The 20,308-nt window shown below is 46.7% G+C and overlaps 1 protein-coding gene across 24 annotated transcripts in view, besides 2 other annotated features; it reads right to left on the bottom strand.

Annotated features, from left to right (window-relative positions):
• Positions 408–20,308, bottom strand: part of STAT3 (signal transducer and activator of transcription 3) — a 75,119-nt gene continuing 55,218 nt past the window's right edge. For 5 of the 24 annotated variants that reach the window (NM_001369512.1, NM_001369513.1, NM_001384985.1 and 2 more), the window contains 14 exons: positions 18,556–18,615; positions 16,831–16,860; positions 16,638–16,731; positions 16,494–16,541; positions 13,200–13,283; positions 12,047–12,145; positions 11,795–11,930; positions 10,657–10,709; positions 10,344–10,438; positions 10,088–10,227; positions 9,366–9,578; positions 4,266–4,308; positions 3,873–3,985; positions 408–2,884 (listed from right to left, as the gene is read on the bottom strand). In NM_001369512.1, coding sequence (NP_001356441.1) covers positions 2,829–2,884; positions 3,873–3,985; positions 4,266–4,308; positions 9,366–9,578; positions 10,088–10,227; positions 10,344–10,438; positions 10,657–10,709; positions 11,795–11,930; positions 12,047–12,145; positions 13,200–13,283; positions 16,494–16,541; positions 16,638–16,731; positions 16,831–16,860; positions 18,556–18,615 — 1,264 coding nt within the window. In that variant the 3' untranslated portion in view covers positions 408–2,828. Of the gene's footprint in view, positions 2,885–3,867; positions 3,986–4,265; positions 4,309–9,365; positions 9,579–10,087; positions 10,228–10,343; positions 10,439–10,656; positions 10,710–11,794; positions 11,931–12,046; positions 12,146–13,199; positions 13,284–16,493; positions 16,542–16,637; positions 16,732–16,830; positions 16,876–18,555; positions 18,616–20,308 lie in introns of those variants that run through there. The other 19 variants (NM_001384989.1, NM_003150.4, NM_001369514.1 and 16 more) reach the window with 13 other exon arrangements.
• Positions 15,901–16,630: an enhancer, noted in NCBI's record as "OCT4-NANOG-H3K27ac hESC enhancer chr17:40480835-40481564 (GRCh37/hg19 assembly coordinates)". NCBI's record gives its function as "activates a minimal SCP1, AML or CMV promoter by ChIP-STARR-seq in naive and primed H9 embryonic stem cells {active_cell/tissue: H9 hESC(naive and primed)}" and the evidence as "EXISTENCE:reporter gene assay evidence [ECO:0000049][PMID:30033119]".
• Positions 16,631–17,361: an enhancer, noted in NCBI's record as "OCT4-NANOG-H3K27ac-H3K4me1 hESC enhancer chr17:40481565-40482295 (GRCh37/hg19 assembly coordinates)". NCBI's record gives its function as "activates a minimal SCP1, AML or CMV promoter by ChIP-STARR-seq in naive and primed H9 embryonic stem cells {active_cell/tissue: H9 hESC(naive and primed)}" and the evidence as "EXISTENCE:reporter gene assay evidence [ECO:0000049][PMID:30033119]".

A 20,308-nucleotide genomic window follows, 5' to 3' on the forward strand; every position in this document is an offset into this window, starting at 1 on the left:
CGTGTTGTCCCCGCTGGGTGAACTGAAGGGAAAGTGATAAAGGAGCCAACTGTGGAAGGGGAGGCCTTGGTGCGGTGGGAGTATCTACCCCCCACCCCGCTTAGGTGGCTTATCTGACCCCAGACAGGACGAGGCCGCTCTGGGGGGTAGGAGGGGGCCGGGGAGGGAGGCCTCCACTCTGACACCTTTCTGCCGTTGGACTATTGACCTCCTGCTCCTCCAGGCACCCCTTACCTCCGGGCTGGTGGCTAACATAAGGGGGTTGGCGGGGGGGATTAAGGCAACCACCTCCTCTCAAGACCCTTTCCGGCCCTTATCCCAGGCCCCACCTGTGTGTGAGGCCCCCTCAGAACTTATGCAGGGGAAAAGGAAGCCTCCACCAGCCAAACAGAGCTGCCATGCTATCAGACGGTTCCTATATAACGTTTATTTCTGGAAGTTAAAGTAGATACAGCAATATACCAAAAAAAAAAAAAAAAAAAAAAGACAAAAAACCTCACAATAATATAAATTTTTACACTATGAAGTACACATTGGAATTTGAATGCAGTGGCCAGGACAGCAGCTTATAAACCACCTTATAGGTAGGTAAGCAACCCACGGGATTCCCTCGGCTGGGCTGGGGATGGGGAGGGGGCAGTGGACAGGAAGCGGGCAGGGCCTGAGGACCCTGTTCTTTAATGGGCCACAACAGGGCTCAGCTCCTCTCAGAACTTTTGCTACAATCAGAGTTAAGACCAGATACATGCTACCTAAGGCCATGAACTTGACAATATCTGCTCCAGAGAAGCCCTGAACCCTCGCCCTAGGTCCCTATGATTTAAACCCAATGGTAAGCCCAAGTCTCACCTTTCTAAATATTCTGTTTATCAGTTAAGCTTATTATGTACTGAAGAGTGTTGCTGGAGAAGTAAGAGCTCTGCATGACACATCAACTGTCTCCAGGCAGGAGGACTGGGGCGAACCCTGTTCATCTTAGAGAAGGTCGTCTCCCCCTTAATTCAGAGACCAGCTAATTTGATTTAACAAACAGAATTCCACAGAAACTCTGATCAGCTGAGGCAAGGTGGTTTTGAGTTGCCAAATCCGGCCATGCCTCTGAGTCAGAGGCAGCCCATCCAGCACGTGCTAGGTGTTCCCATACGCACAGGAGAGGCGAGCTAGCCAGCCAAGGCGGGCAGGCGGGGAGGCCCTCTAGCTGTTCTGCCTCACCTGTGGGGCCCCAGCAGGGAGGAGTCACCAGCCTCAGAGGGAGGCCAGGTATACACCCTCATACGAGGGCAGACTCAAGTTTATCAGTAAGCCTTTGCCCTGCATGAACTGAATGAAGACGCCATTACAAGTGCCACTGGATATCACCAAGAAACTGGCTAAGAACCATATTCCCTGAGCTCAACCAGACACGTCGCTGGGGCCCCATAGTGTGCATCATGTCCAACCTGTAACTCTCTCCCCCTCTTCTTCCATGAGGTCCTGAGACCAGGATTCCTAAAACAAACAGGATGAGGGACCTTTAGACACGCAAGGAGACATGCCTCTAGCAGGATCAGGGGGACTGGGGTCGGGAGGGTGGGGCAGGAAGGAAGCCAGAATCAGAAGTATCCCAGCCCTGATAAGGCACCCACAGAAACAACCTAGCCTCTGAAACAGCAGATCAAGTCCAGGGAGAAAGGGAGTCAAGGTTGTAAGCACCCTCTGCCCAGCCTTACTCACTAAAAGGCCAATACATTACAAAGGAAAATAAGTCTATTTATAAAAAAAAGTCTAAAATGCTTAGATTCTCCTTAAACCTTCCTATTTCAACACCAAAGGCCAGGTTGCAGCTTCAGATGTCTTAAGGGTTTGACCTGAAGCCCGTTTCAGGGATTATATAAATTACCAGCCTGAAGGAAGCTGAATGCTTAAAGCACCAAGGAGGCTGTTAACTGAAGTTTCTTTTTTTTTTTTTTTTTTTTGAGACAGAGTCTCAGACTGTCGCCCAGGATGGAGTGCAGTGTGCAGTGGTGCAATTTTGGCTCACTGCAACCTCCGCCTCTCAGGTTCAAGCGATTCTCCTGCCTCAGCCTCCCGAGTAGCTGGGACTACAGGCGCCCACCACCACACCCAGCTAATTTTTTGTACTTTTAGTAGAGACGGGGTTTCACCGTGTTAGCCAGGATGGTCTTGATCTCCTGACCTTATGATCCGCCTCGGCCTCCCAAAGTGCTGGGATTACAGGCGTGAGCCACCATGCCCGGCTGCTTAAGTTTCTTAAATACAGAAAGGCTATGCTGATACAGTGTTTTTTGCCCTTTAATTGTTATTATTTCTTAATTTAAAAAGAAACCTAGGGCTTAGATAGTCCTATCTTCTATTTGGATGTCAGCAAGGTTAAAAAGTGCAATGCCAGGAGTATGTAGCTATAGGTGGCCTGTGGCATTTGCTTACAGAAACAGGCAGAAGGATGCCGCAGGCACCAGGAGGCACTTGTCTAAGAACAACAACAACAATAACAAAAAGCTGCTGAGAAAGGAGGGCAGGGGAACAAAACAACACAAGACATTTCCTTTTTCTCCCTCTAGCCACCCCCCGCCACATCCCCTGATCATGGGTCTCAGAGAACACATCCTTATTTGCATTTAGATAAAAGCAGATCACCCACATTCACTCATTTCTCTATTTTTAAAAGTGCCCAGATTGCTCAAAGATAGCAGAAGTAGGAGATTAAAAAAAATCTGGAACCACAAAGTTAGTAGTTTCAGATGATCTGGGGTTTGGCTGTGTGAGGGGTGGCAGAATGCAGGTAGGCGCCTCAGTCGTATCTTTCTGCAGCTTCCGTTCTCAGCTCCTCACATGGGGGAGGTAGCGCACTCCGAGGTCAACTCCATGTCAAAGGTGAGGGACTCTGGAGGGACAGACAGGGAAAACTAGTTCAGTTGTCCACCCTCTGCAACTGGCAGGCCACGCCCCCAGCCCTTCAGAGGACAGGGCCCAGGCTACCACTGCTATCCAATCTCCTGCCCCTTAAGGCCCAGGGATGGTCAGAAAAGCCAGATTTACCCTCCTCCCTGGAGGACCCTGCCTCGGGAAGGGTCCTTTCTCATTCCCACCTTAACTGATTCCCAGAGCTCCATGTTTACAGAAGCTCTAAGGCTGTCCTGAGATCTTCTGCCCTTGATCTACTGTTTAATTCAGGAGCCCCGAGACACACGTGGCCACCAAGCATTTGAGATTTGGTTTGTCCAAACTGAGCTGTGCTGTGGCTGTCAAAAGCCCACTGGATTTTAAAGGCTTAGTATGAAAAAAAAGAATAAAAAAAGGTCTCAACTTTTTCTTTTTAGTTTAGTTTTGTTTATTTGAGATGGAGTCTCACTCTGTCGCCCAGGCTGGAGTGCAGTGGCACGATCTCTGCTCACTGCAACCTCCACCTCCCAGGCTCAAGCGATCCTCCCACCTCAGCTTCTTGAGTAGCTGGGATTACAGGTATGCGCCACCATGCCCAGCTAATTTTTATATTTTAGAGATTTTGGTCAGACTGGTCTCGAACTCCTGACCTCAAGTGATCCACCCACCTCGGCCTCCCAAAGTGCTGGGATTACAGGCATGAGCCACTCACCCAGCCTCAACTTTTTCTGAAATGTTAAATTGAGAGTATGTTGGATTTAGTGGGTTAAATAAAATATATTGTAAAAATTAAGTTCGTCTATTTCCAGTGTGGCTGCTAGAAGATTTATACTCACACATGTGGCATTCATACCATCTCTTTTGGAAAGCAAAGCTCTAGAATCTCCTACCATTCCGAGTGACCAGCTCTCGGTGTGTACATGTGAGAGCATCACACAAAGGGGACCAACTTCCCTTATAGGGACAAAGTCTGTCAACCAAATACTCACCAAACTGCCCTCCTGCTGAGGGTTCAGCACCTTCACCATTATTTCCAAACTGCATCAATGAATCTAAAGTGCGGGGGGACATCGGCAGGTCAATGGTATTGCTGCAGGTCGTTCTGTAGGAAATGGGGGGCAGCAGGAGGGGAAACGGGGGGTTGACAAGACACAATGGAAAAAAAAAAAAGAACAAAACACACACACACAAGCCATCAAACTCTGGTCTCCAACAGAAAAATAAAAGCTCAAGCTTTTTAAACACACAAGGTCACTTTGAGTACTAAACATAGCCCAGGGGCTTCCAACCTTTGGCAGATTAACTCTCACCCAGTGTCCCATTCCCAGGGATAACTGAGGATATTAGAAATGAAGGCAAAACGGGGAAAGGAAGCCACTTACGGTGTCACACAGATAAACTTGGTCTTCAGGTATGGGGCAGCGCCTGGGAAGAAGAAAACCAGTTTTCTTACTGACTGTGACTTCGCATTCAGTAAGCAGAGCTGGAGGAAGCCATCTGCCTCGGCAGGACTGATTTGAAACTCACTCATCCTCATGCCAAGATTGTCTGGAAAGCTCCATCTGCCCCTCAGGGTTGTCTGCCCTCATTTATACTATTTGATCTCCCAGGCACTAGCAGCTGTGAACTTCAGTTCTTTGCACAAAGCTGTCCTGAGCTGCAGAGACTTTTCAGCATAACCTTTTCCCACCTGACCCTAGACTAATGCCACCTTGTGTCCCTTCTTTCCCTAGATTATGTAAAAGTTTAACAGCCTCCACGTGGTCTGAGCATTCTATTCCGGCCTGGTCATATCTCTTAGATAACTTCTCTGCATGCAGGAACCGAGCCTGTGTAGTCTTTGCATGGTGTCCAGCCTAAATACCAATATCACCAAGTCTTTAAAGAACATGGAGACTGCTAATGCTTGTGGTTCCAAAGCCAAAGGTTATATCTCTTATTCCTACCAGCACTAATCTGGCCTCTACCACATTTTTGGATGAGGGCATGAGTAACTTTCTAGTTGGATAAATACGTCAATCAAAAAGCACCAAAGAGAATGTGACTTTGTAAGGCAGTACAATTGCTTCAACTAGAAGACCGGAGACCTGGGTCCAGGTACATCTTCAATAGCTAAGAGACCTGGAGCAAGGCATGGTCTCTCTCTTTTGTTGCTGTTGTTCTTATTGTTTTGAGACAGAGTCTCACTCTGTTGCCCAGGCTCAAGTGCAGTGGCACAATCTCGGTTACCGCAACCTCCTACTCCCAGGTCAAAACGATTCTCCTGCCTTAGGCTCCCAAGCAGCTGGGACTACAGGTGGCACCACCATGCCTGGCTAATTTTTGTCTTTTTTTTTTTTGAGACGGAGTCTTGCTCTCTTTCGCCCAGGTTGGAGTGCAGTAGCGCCATCTTGGCTCTCTACAACCTCTGCCTCCAGGGTTCAAGTGATTCTCCTTCATCAGCCTCCTGAGTAGCTGGATTACAGGCATCTGCCACCATGCCTAGCTAATTTTTTTTTTGTAATTTTAGTAGAGATGAGGTTTCACCATGTTGGCCAGGCTGGTCTTGAACTCCTGACCTCAGGTGATCCATCTGCCTCACCCTCCCAAAGTGCTGGATTACAAGTATGAGCTATCATGCCCAGCCTTGGCCACAATGCCCAGCCCATATTCTCTTTTATGTATAAAATAAGAGGGAGGGGGAAGACAAGGTGCCAATTTTCTATGAGCTTTGTCATTTATAATTCTTGTTCTACAGTTAGAAATGCGTTGACGGGAATAAAATGAATTTTAGATGCTGAATGCTTACACCAAGAGGTCAAGGAACCTTGGGGATACTGGCATGAAATCTGGGGAATTCAGGTGAACAAACCATTGAGAAGGCATGGGGCAGGGTGAGGTGGGCTGAGAACAGCACGGTCATAAAACATGAGGCTTAGACAGAACCTGAGGGATCAGAGAGCATGATGACCATGTGAAAGAAGGCACTGCAGAGTGGCTCTTGGGCTGCCATCTGAGTTTACTTTGGGCCAAGAAACTGATCAATTCAGTGCAGAATTCAAAGGAGCTACTGAGGCAAGACTCTAGTGTCTTATAAATCCAACTGTTTTGGCCCAGCCCTTAGGGAGCTGACACCCTAGACAGAAAAGGATTTAATTCTCCAGCATTCAAGATAGCTGAGGCCAGGCACAGTGGCTCATGCCTGTAATCCCTGCACTTTGGGAGGCTGAAGCAGGTGGATCACTTGAGGCCAGGAGTTCAAGACCAGCCTCACCAACATGGGGAAACCCTGTCTTTAATGAAATTACAAAAATAGCTGGGCGTGGTGGCACGCCTGTAATCCCAGCTACTCAGGAGGCTGAGACAGGAGAATCACTTGAACCTGGGAGGCAGAGGCTGAAGTGAGGTGAGATCGCACCACTGCACTCCAGCCTGGGTGACAGAGTGACAGACTGTCAAAACAAAACAAAAACAAAAACAAGGCTGGGCACTGTGGCTCACACCTATAATCCCAGCACTTTGGGAGGCCCAGGCGGGAAGATCACTTGAGGTCAGGGGTTCGAGACCAGCCTGGCCAACAGGGTGAAACCCGGTCTCTACTAAAAATCCAAAAATTAGCCAGGCATAGTGGTGCATGTCTGTAATCCCAGCTACTCAGGAGGCTGAGGTATGAGAATCTCTTGAACCTGGGAGGCAGAGGTTTCAGTGAAGCAAGATCGCGCCACTGCACTCCAGTCTGGACGATAGAGCGAGACTCAGGCTCAAAAAAAAAAAAAAAAAAAAAAAAAAAGCTGAGAAAAATGACTTCATTGTGTGGCTTTGTACAAGATTGTAAATGTACTTTATCTAATTTGTAAGTGGCTCCGAACCTCTCCCTCAAGCCATAAGGAAATGCTATGTGGGCTTCCAGTAGAGAAGGAAGAGAGAAGAGTCTTGGGAGGATAATCTAACCTGAGACCCTCATACCATAATACTCTTGTGATGGAAATAGAGAGGAAATGGTCACATGCTCATCGTCCTGAAGGCACCCATTTTAAAATAACACAGGGACACCCCCACACCCGTCACCACACTCACATGGAGTCCCTCAGGGCACACTCCTCTCAGCAAGGCAAGGCAAATTACTCAAGTAATTAGTTCCTTTCTCCTGATGAGTGCCTGGCCCCTGAGGAAACGCTGACATCGCTGGGCAGGAAAGGACCTGGCCTCCCAGCCCACAGGAAGGGCGATGGTAATGGAGGATGCAGCCTCAGACTGGGAGGTGGGACCTTGAAAGCAAAATGAGTCAAAAGGACCAGCCGTGGGACCCCAACGTCCTCTGCAGAAGGAACAAAGAGCCGTGTGGCAGGGGCTGATAAACAGATCTCCCAACTGAAGCACACATGCAAAGGGAGATAGGTGGCAGACAGGAAGTGAGTAACTCTTACAGCAGGAACAAGACTCAGGACCCCAACAAAGGAGAAAGGCAACGGTCAATTAGCTCCAACTCCCTCTTCCAAGCCCCATTCTGCCCCATCTCAAGAAATCCCTCAGAAGGAATTCCTAGGAAAAAGTGGGAGGGAAGTTGGTAGGTTTCTGTGTGTGTGCTATTTGGACAAAAATAGTTTTTTCAACAGCAACTAGGGCAAGGCGCCAACCCTAAAGGATCACATTAAAGAGCCCATCATTAGGCCAGGCACAGTGGCTCACGCCTGTAATCCCAGCACTTTGGGAGGCTGAAGTGGGCAGATCACCTGAGGTCAGGAGTTCGAGGCCAGCCTGGCCAACATGGCGAAACCCTTTCTCTACAAAAAATACAAAAATCAGCTGGGCATGGTGGCACAAGCCCATAATCCCAGCTACTCGGGAGGCTGAGGCAGGAGAATTGCTTGAACCGGGAGGTGGAGGTTGCAGTGAGCCGAGATGGTGCCACTGCACTCCAGCTTGGGTGATAGAGCAAGACTTAGTCTAAAAAAAAAAAAAAAAAAAAAGCCCATCATTGGCTTTATGATTACAGAAAGTTAAATCAAACAAAGAATGGCAAACCAGAGACTCCCCATCAAGACCTGCACAAAGAACCCAGAGAGTCAAAACAGCAAGTGCTGAAGGGGAACAGACAGGGCTACCCCCTCCACACTGAGGACAGCTGCAGAGATTACAGTTTTGTTTCGTTTTTTTCTTTCTCTTCTTTGTGTGTGTGTGTGTGTGTGTGTGTAGTGGGGTCTTGCTATGTTGCCAGGCTGGTCTTGAGTTCCTGGCCTCAAGTGATCCTCCTGCTTCAGCCTCCCAAAGTGCTAGGACTGCAGGTGTGAACCCCCATGCCCAGCTGAGATTACAGTATTTTTAATTTCTCTCTCTTTTTTTTTTTTTTTTTTTTGGTGAGTCAAGGTCTTGCTCTGTCACCCAGGCTGGAGTGCAGTGGTGCGATCATGGCTCACTGCAGCCTCAACCTCCTGGGCTTAAGCAATCCTCCCACCTCAGCCTCCCGAGTAGCTAGGACTACAGGCACAAACCACCACACGTGGCTAATTTAAAAAAAATTATTTTTGTATAGATAGGGTCTCACTATGTTGTCTAGGCTGTTCTCAAACTCCCAGGCTCAAGTGATCCTCCCGCCTGGGCCTCCCAAAGTGCTAGGACTATAGGCATGAGCCACTTCACCCAGCTAAAATAATTTATATATAACATATAAGTACATGTCCTCTTACACATTAAAATATACCTTATTTTCAATAGTTGCACACTCTAAATACTAATCCCTTGCCCCTCCACCCAGTCACTGTCTTCCCCTTCAAACGTGATGCTCCCAGCTCTTCTACTCTAGTGTAAACCATACTCCCATGCAGCTAATAATAATTTCCTCCAGAAACCCTTTCTTCAGACCATCTGGCACACTGACATGGTTCAGTTACAGGCAAAAAGCCATATGCTGGGCTGAAATCTGGGCCTCAAACCTTCTAGCATCTACTAAGAAGCACTGTGCCAGCAGGGCATCCTGTTAACTGCCCTCACTTTCCCTTCTCGTGTTTCAGGCATGTTTTGGGGGACGTATGTGTATTGATCCCCTCTTTATTTTTATTTTTTGACACAGTATCTCACTCTATCAGCCAGGCTGGAGTGCGGTGGCATGATCACCGCTCACTACAGCCTTGAACTCCTTGGCTCAGGTGATCCTCCCACCTCAGCCTCCCAAGTAGCTACGACTACAAATGCGTGCCACCACACCGGGTAATTTTTTTGGATTTTTTGTAGAGACGAGGTTTCACCATATTGCCCAGGCTGTATCCCCTCTTTAGACTCATGCACTCTCTGTGGAGCAGGAACTACACTACTCTAAGTGATTCTGATTCTCCTCTCAAATCCCATCGGTCACCCCAACAAAAGCACTCACTACAATTCTTTCCCATAAGGAGAAATAATTATCCCCCAGGTTATTCAGGCATTTGCCTATCTATCCTCCAAGGATCCCAAAATTTCCAACTTTTCCCAAAAATTAAATGCCAGGAACATGGAAAATCAACAACTACCTGGGTCAGCTTCAGGATGCTCCTGGCTCTCTGGCCGACAATACTTTCCGAATGCCTCCTCCTTGGGAATGTCAGGATAGAGATAGACCAGTGGAGACACCAGGATATTGGTAGCATCCATGATCTTATAGCCCATGATGATTTCAGCAAATGACATGTTGTTCAGCTGCTGCTTTGTGTATGGTTCCACGGACTGGATCTGGGTCTTACCTGTCACAGGACATGGGAAGGAAAGATCATGGAACCTACAGCTAGGTCATCTCAGAGAAAACTGCCCATTTTTTCTTTCCTCGAAGGGGAAAAGACTTAAGCCACCCTAGTGTTGAGACCCTGAACACCCTGTTCAGTGGCCTGGCACTGTGGAAATATTCAGGCTGGCTTCTAATTAAGAAGAGGCTACTAGTTGGGTCATAGAAAATAAACTTGAATATAACTACTTGCGTAAGATATATTAACAGGGTTAAGTAGAAAAAGAGATGAAGAATACAATTTAAATTGCAAAATTCTCAACAAATAGTCACTGGAGCAAGCAAAACAAAGCAAACCAATCCTTCAGCTGGAAGGATTTAGAAGTCACGCAAATGTGTTTTGCGAGTCTGAGTGAAACAGGGAGTCAAGGCCATCTCCACCCACCAGGGGGCAGTAGGTGCTTGCAACTAGAAGCAGTGATGAGGCCTCAGCAGCCACCAGCAGGTGGGGTGGGTGGGAGCCTCCCTTACCGCTGATGTCCTTCTCCACCCAAGTGAAAGTGACGCCTCCTTCTTTGCTGCTTTCACTGAATCTTAGCAGGAAGGTGCCTGGAGGCTTAGTGCTCAAGATGGCCCGCTCCCGCTCCTTACTGATAAAGCCCATGATGTACCTGGAGCCAAGGAGGAGGAACAATGTTGTTATTGCTAACAGGGCATCCATCCCCTGCCACTGGCTTGCTGAGAGCAGGGGACTTGGTTACATCTGTGCACACTCTGTCCAACCTACCCTTCGTTCCAAAGGGCCAGGATGTACTTTTTCACAAGGTCAATGATATTGTCCAGCCAGACCCAGAAGGAGAAGCCCTTGCCAGCCATGTTTTCCTGGAGAAAAGAGTAATGGGAAAGCCAAGTCTACTGCCATCCCAGCCCTTCCCTTCCTAGGGGTGCAGTGCATCACCCAAATCCTCAGGCCCGTCTACCTTCAGGCAGGTCCTACTGGCCGCTGGACCAAGAGTTCAGGGCCTTCAAGCCAGAGCCCTCAACGACAGCCGTGCAGGTGAGCATTCCCATTCCCACGAGAATTTAACAAGATTGCTTACTTTGCAAAATTTAGCCCATGTGATCTGACACCCTGAATAATTCACACCAGGTCCTGAAGGAAAGAAAAAGAGTCAAGTAGTACATTTTCAGCTTGGGGTCAAGAGGTTATTTCTTAAAACAGAACACACACACATTCATCCCACAATGGGCCACAAAATAATCAGCTTTCACATCTTTGAAGGTAGGCACTGTTGTGTGTGTGCACATGAGGACAAACACTATCCCATCATTTGACTCACTTGTGTTGCTGGGTAGCCCAGCAGGGATGGAGGGTGATATAACAAGTCCCCCTGCTCTTCCCAACCTCGGGTGGTAGGCTGGGAACCAACAGCAGCACTCACTAACAAGCTGACATCGGGTGTCAGACAGGTGTATTTGGTGGCAACAGCTTTATTAGAACAAAGCTACTTCTAGCCCAGGTGGCACATAAAATATTCCACTAATTCTTTTTTAAAAACTAGCCTACGCTGGGCACAGTGGCTCAAGCCTGTAATCCCAGCACTTTAGGAGGCCGAGGTGGGCGGATCACGAGGTGAAGAGACGGAGACTATCCTGGCCAACATGGTAAAACCCCGTCTCTACTAAAAATACAAAAATTAGCTGGGCGTGGTGGTGAGCACCTGTAGTCTCAGCTACTCGGGAGGCCGAGGCAGAAGAATCGCTTGAACCCAGAAGGCGGAGGTTGCAGTGAGCCGAGATCACACTACTGCACTCCAGCCTGGGCAACAGAGCAAGACTCGTCTCAAAAAAATAAATAAATAAATAAAATAAGACAAAAAAAACCAACTAGCCTATAGTTTATTAAAAAAATGGACAGGGAATGTCAAGCCTTTAGTGCCACCTTCCAACACACACTTAAAAGATCTTCTAAAGTTAGATAGAGTGGGTGAATGAGACAGCAACCAGGAGAAAAGAAATCTACCTCCCACCTCAAAAATGATCACCTCGACTGAAAACTGCAAACTGTCTCTGCACCCCAACTCCCCAACTCCCCTGTTTCCTGGCACCAGCACAGCGCCTTGCTCAGGAAAGAAACATGGCCTAATGCTCAGTAGACATGGCCCAAATGAACAGCCCTATGGGCCGGATCCCTTTTCTGGGCGGGTGGGCGGGAGGGAGAAGGGGTGAAATGCGGACCCAAGAGTTTCTCTGCCAGTGTAGTCAGCTGCTCGATGCTCAGTCCTCGCTTGGTGGTGGAGGAGAACTGCCAGCTCAGGACCTCGGCCACTTGATCCCAGGTTCCAATTGGGGGCTTGGTAAAAAAGTTTACATTCTATTGGAAAGAACACATTTGCTTGTTTAGATGAGGGATGGTGCTCATTGTCTATACTAGGTACCCCTAAGTCGCAAGAGATCCCGGGGCACCAACTAAAAGGAGGGGGCACTAACCTTGGGATTGTTGGTCAGCATGTTGTACCACAGGATGGACGCCCAGGCATTTGGCATCTGACAGATGTTGGAGATCACCACAACTGGCAAGGAGTGGGTCTGCGGAGGGAGTGGGGACTGAGCTGGGGAGGCAGAGGGGCTCTCACAGCCTTGGAAATCTCTTCACCCGCATCTCACGGGGCTCAGAATGAAAGGACATGCCATAAACCACACCTGCTGCCAACTCTAGGCGAGGAGTGTGAGTGAGTCAGCTCAGTGAGCACTCATAGTGGAAAGAATGCCCAGCGTGGCCACACAACTCAGGCTGCAGTCGGAATATACCGGTCCCTTGTAAAACCTGACTTGCTCAAAGCTTGACTCACAATCCACAGATTCCCCATTTTTAAGACCTTGGAGGCATTCTCCAAGACTTGAAGCTGTATCTTCACATGAAACAGGGAGGTCTCAGGAATCAAAGACCAGGATTCCTGCTTTTCTAGGTATATCTTAATTTAAAAATCAAGAAAGTTGGGAAAGGAGAATGTCATTGCCACAATTTTCTGTATACTAAACACACTGGCTGCTAAGACTCTTATGCCCAAACTTTATAAAGTCAGTTCTAATTTCTTTTTTTTTTTTTTGAGACGGAGTCTCACTCTGTCACCCAGGCTGGAGTGCAATGGCACAATCTCAGCTCACTGCAACCTCTGCCTCCCAGGTTCAAGTGATTCTCCTGCCTCAGCCTCCCGAGTAGCTGGGATTATAGGCGTCCGCCACCATACCCAGCTAATTTTTGTATTTTAGTAGAGACGGGGTTTCGTCATGTTGGCCAGGCTGGTCTCGAACTCCTGACCTCGTGATCCACCCGCCTCAGCCTCCCAAAGTGCTGGGATTACAGGCGTGAGCCACCGCGCCCGGCCAATCAATTTCTAAATAGAGATTTTCATATCAAGTTTGCTGAAAGCTGAATATACACACATCTTCTAAGCATTCAAGCAAGACTTTATTGCCAGATGGGATGCCAAGGATTTTTTTGGAGAAAAGTAAGCAAAAATAAACACAGTGTTAAGCAAACAGTAATCATTCCACCTTCTCTTGTAAAAATCCCAGTGGAAGTTTTTGTCCTGAGTCACCCCTGTACGTAGCCTCTCACCGATTCTGCTGCAGAACTTACCTCTAGGTCAATCTTGAGGCCTTGGTGATACACCTCGGTCTCAAAGGTGATCAGGTGCAGCTCCTCAGTCACAATCAGGGAAGCCTACAGTAACGAGAAGGACACTCTTAGGCCAGGTGTGGTGGCTCATGCCTGTAATCCCAGCACTTTGGGAGGCCAAGGCAGGAGGATTGCCTGAGCCCAGGAGTTCGAGACCAGTCTAAGCAGCACAGCAAAACTCCATCTCTGCAAAAAATACAAAAATTAGCTGGGTGTGGTGGTGCACACCTATAGCCCCAGCTACTCGAGAGGCTGAGGTGGGAGGATGGCTTGAGCCTAGGAGATGGAGGCTGCAGCGAGCTATGATTGTGCCACTGCACTCTAGCTGGGGTGACAGAGTGAGACCCTGTCTTAAAAAAAAATTAAATTAAATAAAAAAAAAGGCTGAGCGTGATGGCTCACACCTACAATCCCAGCATTTTGGGAGGCCGAGGCAGGTGGATCACATGGTCAGGAGTTCGAGACCAGCCTGGCCAATAATTTGGTGAAACCCCGTTTCTACTAAGAATACAAAAATTAGCTGGGTGTGGTAGTGGGCGCCTGTAGTCCCAGCTACTCAGGAGGCTGAGGCAGGAGAATCGCTTGAACCCAGGAGGCAGAGGATGCAGTGAGCCGAGATCACGCCACTGCACTCCAGCCTGGGTGACAGAGTGAGACTCTGTCTCAATCAATCAGTCAATCAATAAAAAAGAGAAGGACACTTTTCCTCAGAGAGAATGGCATTCAGTACTAACAGCCACAGCCAAGGAAAGTGACATGCCAAGCCTCACCACACCAAGAAGGGTAAGCCACCAGGTGGTCACAAACAAACTGCCAGGGACACAACTTGCTCGGCACTTACTCTCTTCAACACCAAGAACTTCCAATGCTGTGATCCTCAACCTAATCCTTTACTCAGTTTGTATTATAATATTACATAGATCCAATTGGTTATTTGTAAAATACGTAAGGCACAAAGAATAACAAAACAATATGAACCCACCATTCAATTTAAGGAAAAGTCCATCACTCCTAAAATTCTCTGGGTGCCCTTCCCCAACCCCATCCCCTTCCCTCCTCCCTCAGAAATAACTGCTATTTTGTCTTTTGGGTTTATCATTTCCTAGCCCTTTTTGTCTTGTTTTGTTTTGTTTTTTTACAGTTTTACCATATTTGTTTATCTAAGCAATGCAGGTATTGTTTAGTTTGGGACATTTGTGAACCTTACACTTATGGACTCCAATGAATTCTTTTGGGATTCACTTTTCACTTGATGTGAAATGAATCCACATGGTTATGTGTATCTGCAGTGTATTCCTTTTCACAGCTGCGGAGTATTCCATTGTGTCTATACCACAAATAATGTATTCATTCTAATGTTGATGGGTATTTATTTGGGTTGCATTTAGAGCTTATAATCAGGCTGATGTCCACTTTATATATGTCTCCTGGGACATATATGCAAAGATTTCTCTGCTATTAAATCCTGGGAATGGCACCGTTGGTTTACAGGTATGTTCATTTTTATACTGCCAAATTGTTTTCCAAACTGACTACAACAATGTCTCACATCAGTACAGCAACCTTATTTTAAGTAAGAGTTGTCAATGAATTCTCAAAAATTGAATTCTAGTCTGGGCACAGCGGCTCATGCCTGTAATCCCAGCACTTTCGGAGGCCGAGATGGGTGGATCACGAGGTCAGGAGTTCAAGACCAGCCTGACCAATATGGTGAAACCCTGTCTCTACTAAAAATGCAAAAATTAGCCAGGCGTGGTGGCATGCACCTATCGTCCCAGCTACTTGGGAGGCTGAGACAGGAGAATCGCTTGAACCTAGGAGGCAGAGGTTGCAGTGAGCTGAGATCGCACCACTGCAATCCGATAGAACGAGACTCCGACTCAAAAAAAAAAAAGAAAAAAGAAATTAAATTATAATTCATTTTTAATACTATTTTTCTGATTATAAAAGTAATATATTCAGTTTAAAATGCAAATATCACAGAGACAGTCTAGAATAGCCATGGATACCAACAGCAGCACTAATACACATAGCACTGCTGGTATATTCCTCCAGAATTTCTTAATATACATATGAATACACATAAGAGTATAGTGTATTTTTAAAACACATATACTAATAATACTATTCAAATTATTTTACATTTTGCTTTTTCTTAATATGTCATGTACATTTTCCCATATCATTGCATACAGGCTACTTCACTCTACTGTCAAGTAAAATTCCACATTTTTAAAAAGGACTGCTACATTTTATTTTATTTATTTTTTTGAGACAGAGTTTCACTCTGTTGCCCAGGCTAGAGTGCAGTGGCAAAATCTTGGCTCACTGCAAGCTCCACCTCTCAGGTTCAAGCGATTCTCATGCCTCAGCCTCCCCAGTAACTGGGACTACAGGCGTGCACCACCACACCCAGCTAATTTTTGTATCTTTAGTAGAGACGGGCTTTCACCATGTTGGCCAGGCTGGTCTTGAACTCCTGACCTCAAGTGACCAGCCTGCCTTGGCATCCCAAAGTACGGGGTGTGAGCCAGCACGCCCAGCTAGGACTGCTACATTTTAAAGAGGAAGAATTGTTCAGGGGACAAATGTAAGAAAAAGAACGGGGCATCACAATTTTTAAAAATGACTGAAAACTAGCCTTCCGTCACATTTACCTTTTTTTGTTTGTTTGTTTAAAGTTTATTCTTGACAATAAGAATCCAATAATCTGAATCAATGAAAAGCAGAAAATAAGGGGGATAAAGAACAAGATGGGTTTTTGTTTGTTCATTTTATTTTATGTACTCTTTTCCTAAGCAAGCTAATGCAAGGTGGTCATTTATTTTAAAGTTTAACTCAAATCTGTTGCTTTTACACCCTCTATCCCACCTCAGTGGGAGAGAAAAACAGGGCACTAAAAATGGAGCCAAGCAGGGTCAGCCGCAGGAGCTGGATGGGGAATTTGGAAAGCCCCAGGCAAGGTGGAAAGCTGCTTTATACCACATGGGTGTGGAGAACAACTCAGCAAGGGACTTTCCACTTCTCCTTAAGGAGGAGCCAACTCCCAGATATTCACGGAAATGTTCCAAGCCAGAGAGCTCCATGGCACATGGAACTTCTGTTCATGTCACTTTGGCCTGAAGTGACTTTTTGGAATAACTACAGCTGAAAGAACAGGTTGATGTTTCTAATTCTGGGGATTAAGAAGGATCTTTACCCCTCTCTCCCTCAAGGAAAACACCCCAGTTGTCTTTCATCCCCAACAAAACTTACATCACAATTGGCTCGGCCCCCATTCCCACATCTCTGCTCCCTCAGGGTCTGTAAGAAAAGAAAAAGGCAGGTGTCCTGTGAGGCTCTCCCTAGCCCTCTCCGGCAGCCAGAGGCCCTTTGTGAAGGGGAGCTCCTCCCACATACCAAGTGTTTGAATTCTGCAGAGAGGCTGCCGTTGTTGGATTCTTCCATGTTCATCACTTTTGTGTTTGTGCCCAGAATGTTAAATTTCCGGGATCTGAATCACAGGGGAACAATCAACTATGTAGGTGACCAAGTAGCCGGAGGATGAAGTTAGGTTAAACGGAACAAAAGGAAGCCTCTAGGCTGAACTTACCCTCTGAGAGCTGCAACGTCCCCAGAGTCTCTGTAAGAACACAGACTGTTGTTAATAAAATAGGCTCTGTGTTTCTTCAAAAAGCCTACTTTGACCACCTGTTATTTACTGTCATGAAAAAACCTCTGTGCTCCTGGGCATTTCTTTAAACTATTCAGTTACAGTTGATCAGCGCAACATAACACCTCTGCGTAGCAGGCACAGTTGGTTGCCTCCCCATAGGAAGGGGAACCTATGTTTCATATTGCATATGTACTTATTAAACCTACCACCTTCGTCAACTCCCTTATTTCATTATTTTCCAGTGCATCCTCATGAAATTTCCACATAATTACATCAACTAAAAATAAGAATGCATTTTATCTTTTCTTTTTTCTTTTTTTTTTTTTGAGATAGTTTCGCTCTTGTTGCCCAGGCTGGAGTGCAATGGTGTGATCTCGGCTCACCACAACCTCCACCTCCTGAGTTCAAGTGATTCTCCTGCCTCAGCCTCCCGTGTAGCTGGGATTACGGGCATGCGCCAACACACCTGGCTAATTTTGTATTTTTAGTAGAGACAAGGTTTCTCCATGTTGGTCGGGCTGGTTTCGAACTCTCGACCTCAGGTGATCTGCCCACCTCAGCCTCCCAAAGTGCTGAGATTACAGGCGTGAGCCACCGCGCCCAGCCACATTTTCTCTTTTCTTTTCTTTTTTTTTTTTTTTGAGATGGAGTCTCTGTCGCCCAGGCTGGAGTGCAGTGGTGTGATCTTGGCTCACTGCAAACTCCACCTCCCAGGTTCATGCCATTCTCCTGCCTCAGCCTCCTGAGTAGCTGGGACTACAGGTGCCCGCCACCACGCCCAGCTAGTTTTTTTGTATTTTTAGTAGAGACGGGGTTTCACCGTGTTACCCAGGATGGTCTCGATCTCCTGACCTCGTGATCCGCCCGCCTCGGCCTCCCAAAGTGCTGGGATTACAGGCATGAGCCACCGCGCCCGGCCCACATTTTCTCTTTTCTAATGTCGTCAAAGGGTATATGTATTTTACATCCTGAAAGGTATTGTGAAATTTTGCGTATTCCATTATATGGTAAAGTGTGGAACAATTAAAAAAAAGAGATCTATTCTTTCCACATGCTATGTATGGAAAGAATATATAACGACGTTTCGGTCAACAACAAAATGCATATATGATGGTGGTCCCATAAGATTATCATGGAGCTGAAAAATTCCTACTTCATTGAGATGTGTTACAATTGCCTACGGTATTCAGCACAGTAACATACTGTACAGGTTTACAGCCTACGACCAGTAGGCTCTGCCACATAGCGTAGGTGTGCAGTAGGTTCTGCCACCCAGGTTTGTGTAAGGACTATATACTCTACAACATTTGCACAACAAAATTGCCTAATGATACATTTTGCAGAACGTATCCCAGTCGTTAATTAACACATGATCTCAGTCTTATATATAATATGCATGAATGACATGTACAAGTAAAAAACTAAACAAGGAAAAGAGGGACTGGTTGTCACAATAGCAACCACAAATCAAATCTGTACCCCCAGCTTTGTGGCTTTGTTCAGACACGTAAATGACAATGCACCCCAAGGCTTTTGAAAACTTTTGTCCACAAAATGAAGATCTCTGAATAAAGACAGAGTCTCTAGTTCAAATGATGTCTGTCAAAGTTCTCATTTTTCTATTCCTCATTTGAAAAACAGAGCTAAGATAGGAGTACTTACTTGTCAATGCACACTTTAATTTTAAGCTGATAATTCAACTCAGGGAATTTGACCAGCAACCTATTTAAAAAGAAAAAATCCAAGGAAAAAAAGTCAGTAACTCTCCCATAACCTTTTCTTGAAGAAATGTAAAATTCATAATTCTTCATTTCCAACAGGTAAATAGGCCAAGCTGTCTATAATTACAGGCTCACATCTATAATCTCAGCACTGTGGGAGGCCAAGCTGGGAGGATCCCTTGAGCCCAGGAGTTCCATAACAGTCTGGGCAACAAAGTGAGAGCCCACATCTATAAAAAATTTAAAAATTAGCGGGGTGTGGTAGCATGTACCTGTAGTCGCAGTTACTCGGGAGGCTGAGGCAAGAGGATCACTTGTGCCCAGGAGTTCAAGGCTACAGTGATCTATGATCATGCCACTGCACTCTAGCCTAGATGACAGAGCGAGATCCTATCTCTCTTTCTCTTTTTTTTTTTTTGAGACAGTTTCTCTCGTTACCCAGGCTGGAGTGCAATGGCGCAATCTCCGTTCACCGCAACCTCCGCCTCCTGGGTTCAAGTGATTCTCCTGCCTCAGCCTCTCAAGTAGCTGGGATTACAGGCGCGCGCCACCACGCTCAGCTAATTTTGTATTTTTAGTAGAGACAGAGTTTCTCCATGTTGGTCAGGATGGTCTCGAACTCCCGACCTCAGGTGATCCACCCACCTTGGCCTCCCAAAGTGCTGGGATTACAGGCGAGAGCCACCGTGCCTGGCCCCTATCTCTCTCTTTAAAAAAATTAAAATAGGGCTGGGTGCGGTGACTCACACCTGTAATCCCAGCACTTTGGGAGGCCAAGGCAGGTGGATCACAAGGTCAGGAGTTCGAGACCAGCCTGGCCAAGATGGTGAAACCCCGTCTCTACTAAAAATACAAAAATCAGCCGGGCATGGTGGCAGGTACCTGTAATCCCAGCTACTTGGGAGGCTGAGGCAGGAGAATCACTTGAACCCAGGAGGCAGAGGCTGCAGTGATCCGAGATCACACCTCAGCACTCTAGCCTGGGTGATAGAGAAAGACTCCATCTCAAAAAAAAAAAAAAAAAAAAAAAGGCCGAGCGTGGTGGCTCACATCTGTAATCCCAGCACTTTTGGAGGCCGGGGTGGGTGGATTACTGAGGTCAGGAGTTTTGAGACCAGCCTGGCCAACATGGAGAAACCCTGTCTCTACTAAAAATACAAAAATTAGCCGGGCATGGTGGAGTGTGCCGGTCCAGCTACTCAGGGAGGCTAAGGCAGGAGAATCGCTTGAACCTGGGAGGTGGAGGTTGCAGTGAGTTGAGATTGCAACACGCACTCTGGCCTGGCCGAAAGAGCGAGACTCTGTCTCAAAAAAAAAAAAATTAGCCGGGTGTGGTGGCACGCACCTCTATTCCCAGTTACTCAGGAGGCTGAGGCACAAGAATCACTTGAACCTGGGAGATGGAGGTTGCAGTGAGCTGAGATCATGCCACTGCACACCAGCCTGGGTGAGAGTGAGACCCTGTCTCAAACAAAAACAAAAGATGAGTATCACTCCTTCAAGCCAAAGGTACTGAGAAAACATCTAAGAACTAACAACTTAAAGTTGTGAGAGATTCACAAAAGGATAATCAAAGCCATATAATGAAAAATATTACAGGAACACATGCTGTGCAGCTGGCATTTTGTTCTATTAATCCTGAAACCGAACACCATACTAAGTTTCTGAGGAGGGAAATTTTGCTGCAGAAGGTC

The sequence above is a fragment of the Homo sapiens genome, chromosome 17, assembly GCF_000001405.40.
Source record: "Homo sapiens chromosome 17, GRCh38.p14 Primary Assembly".
Taxonomy (NCBI): Eukaryota; Metazoa; Chordata; class Mammalia; order Primates; family Hominidae; genus Homo; species Homo sapiens.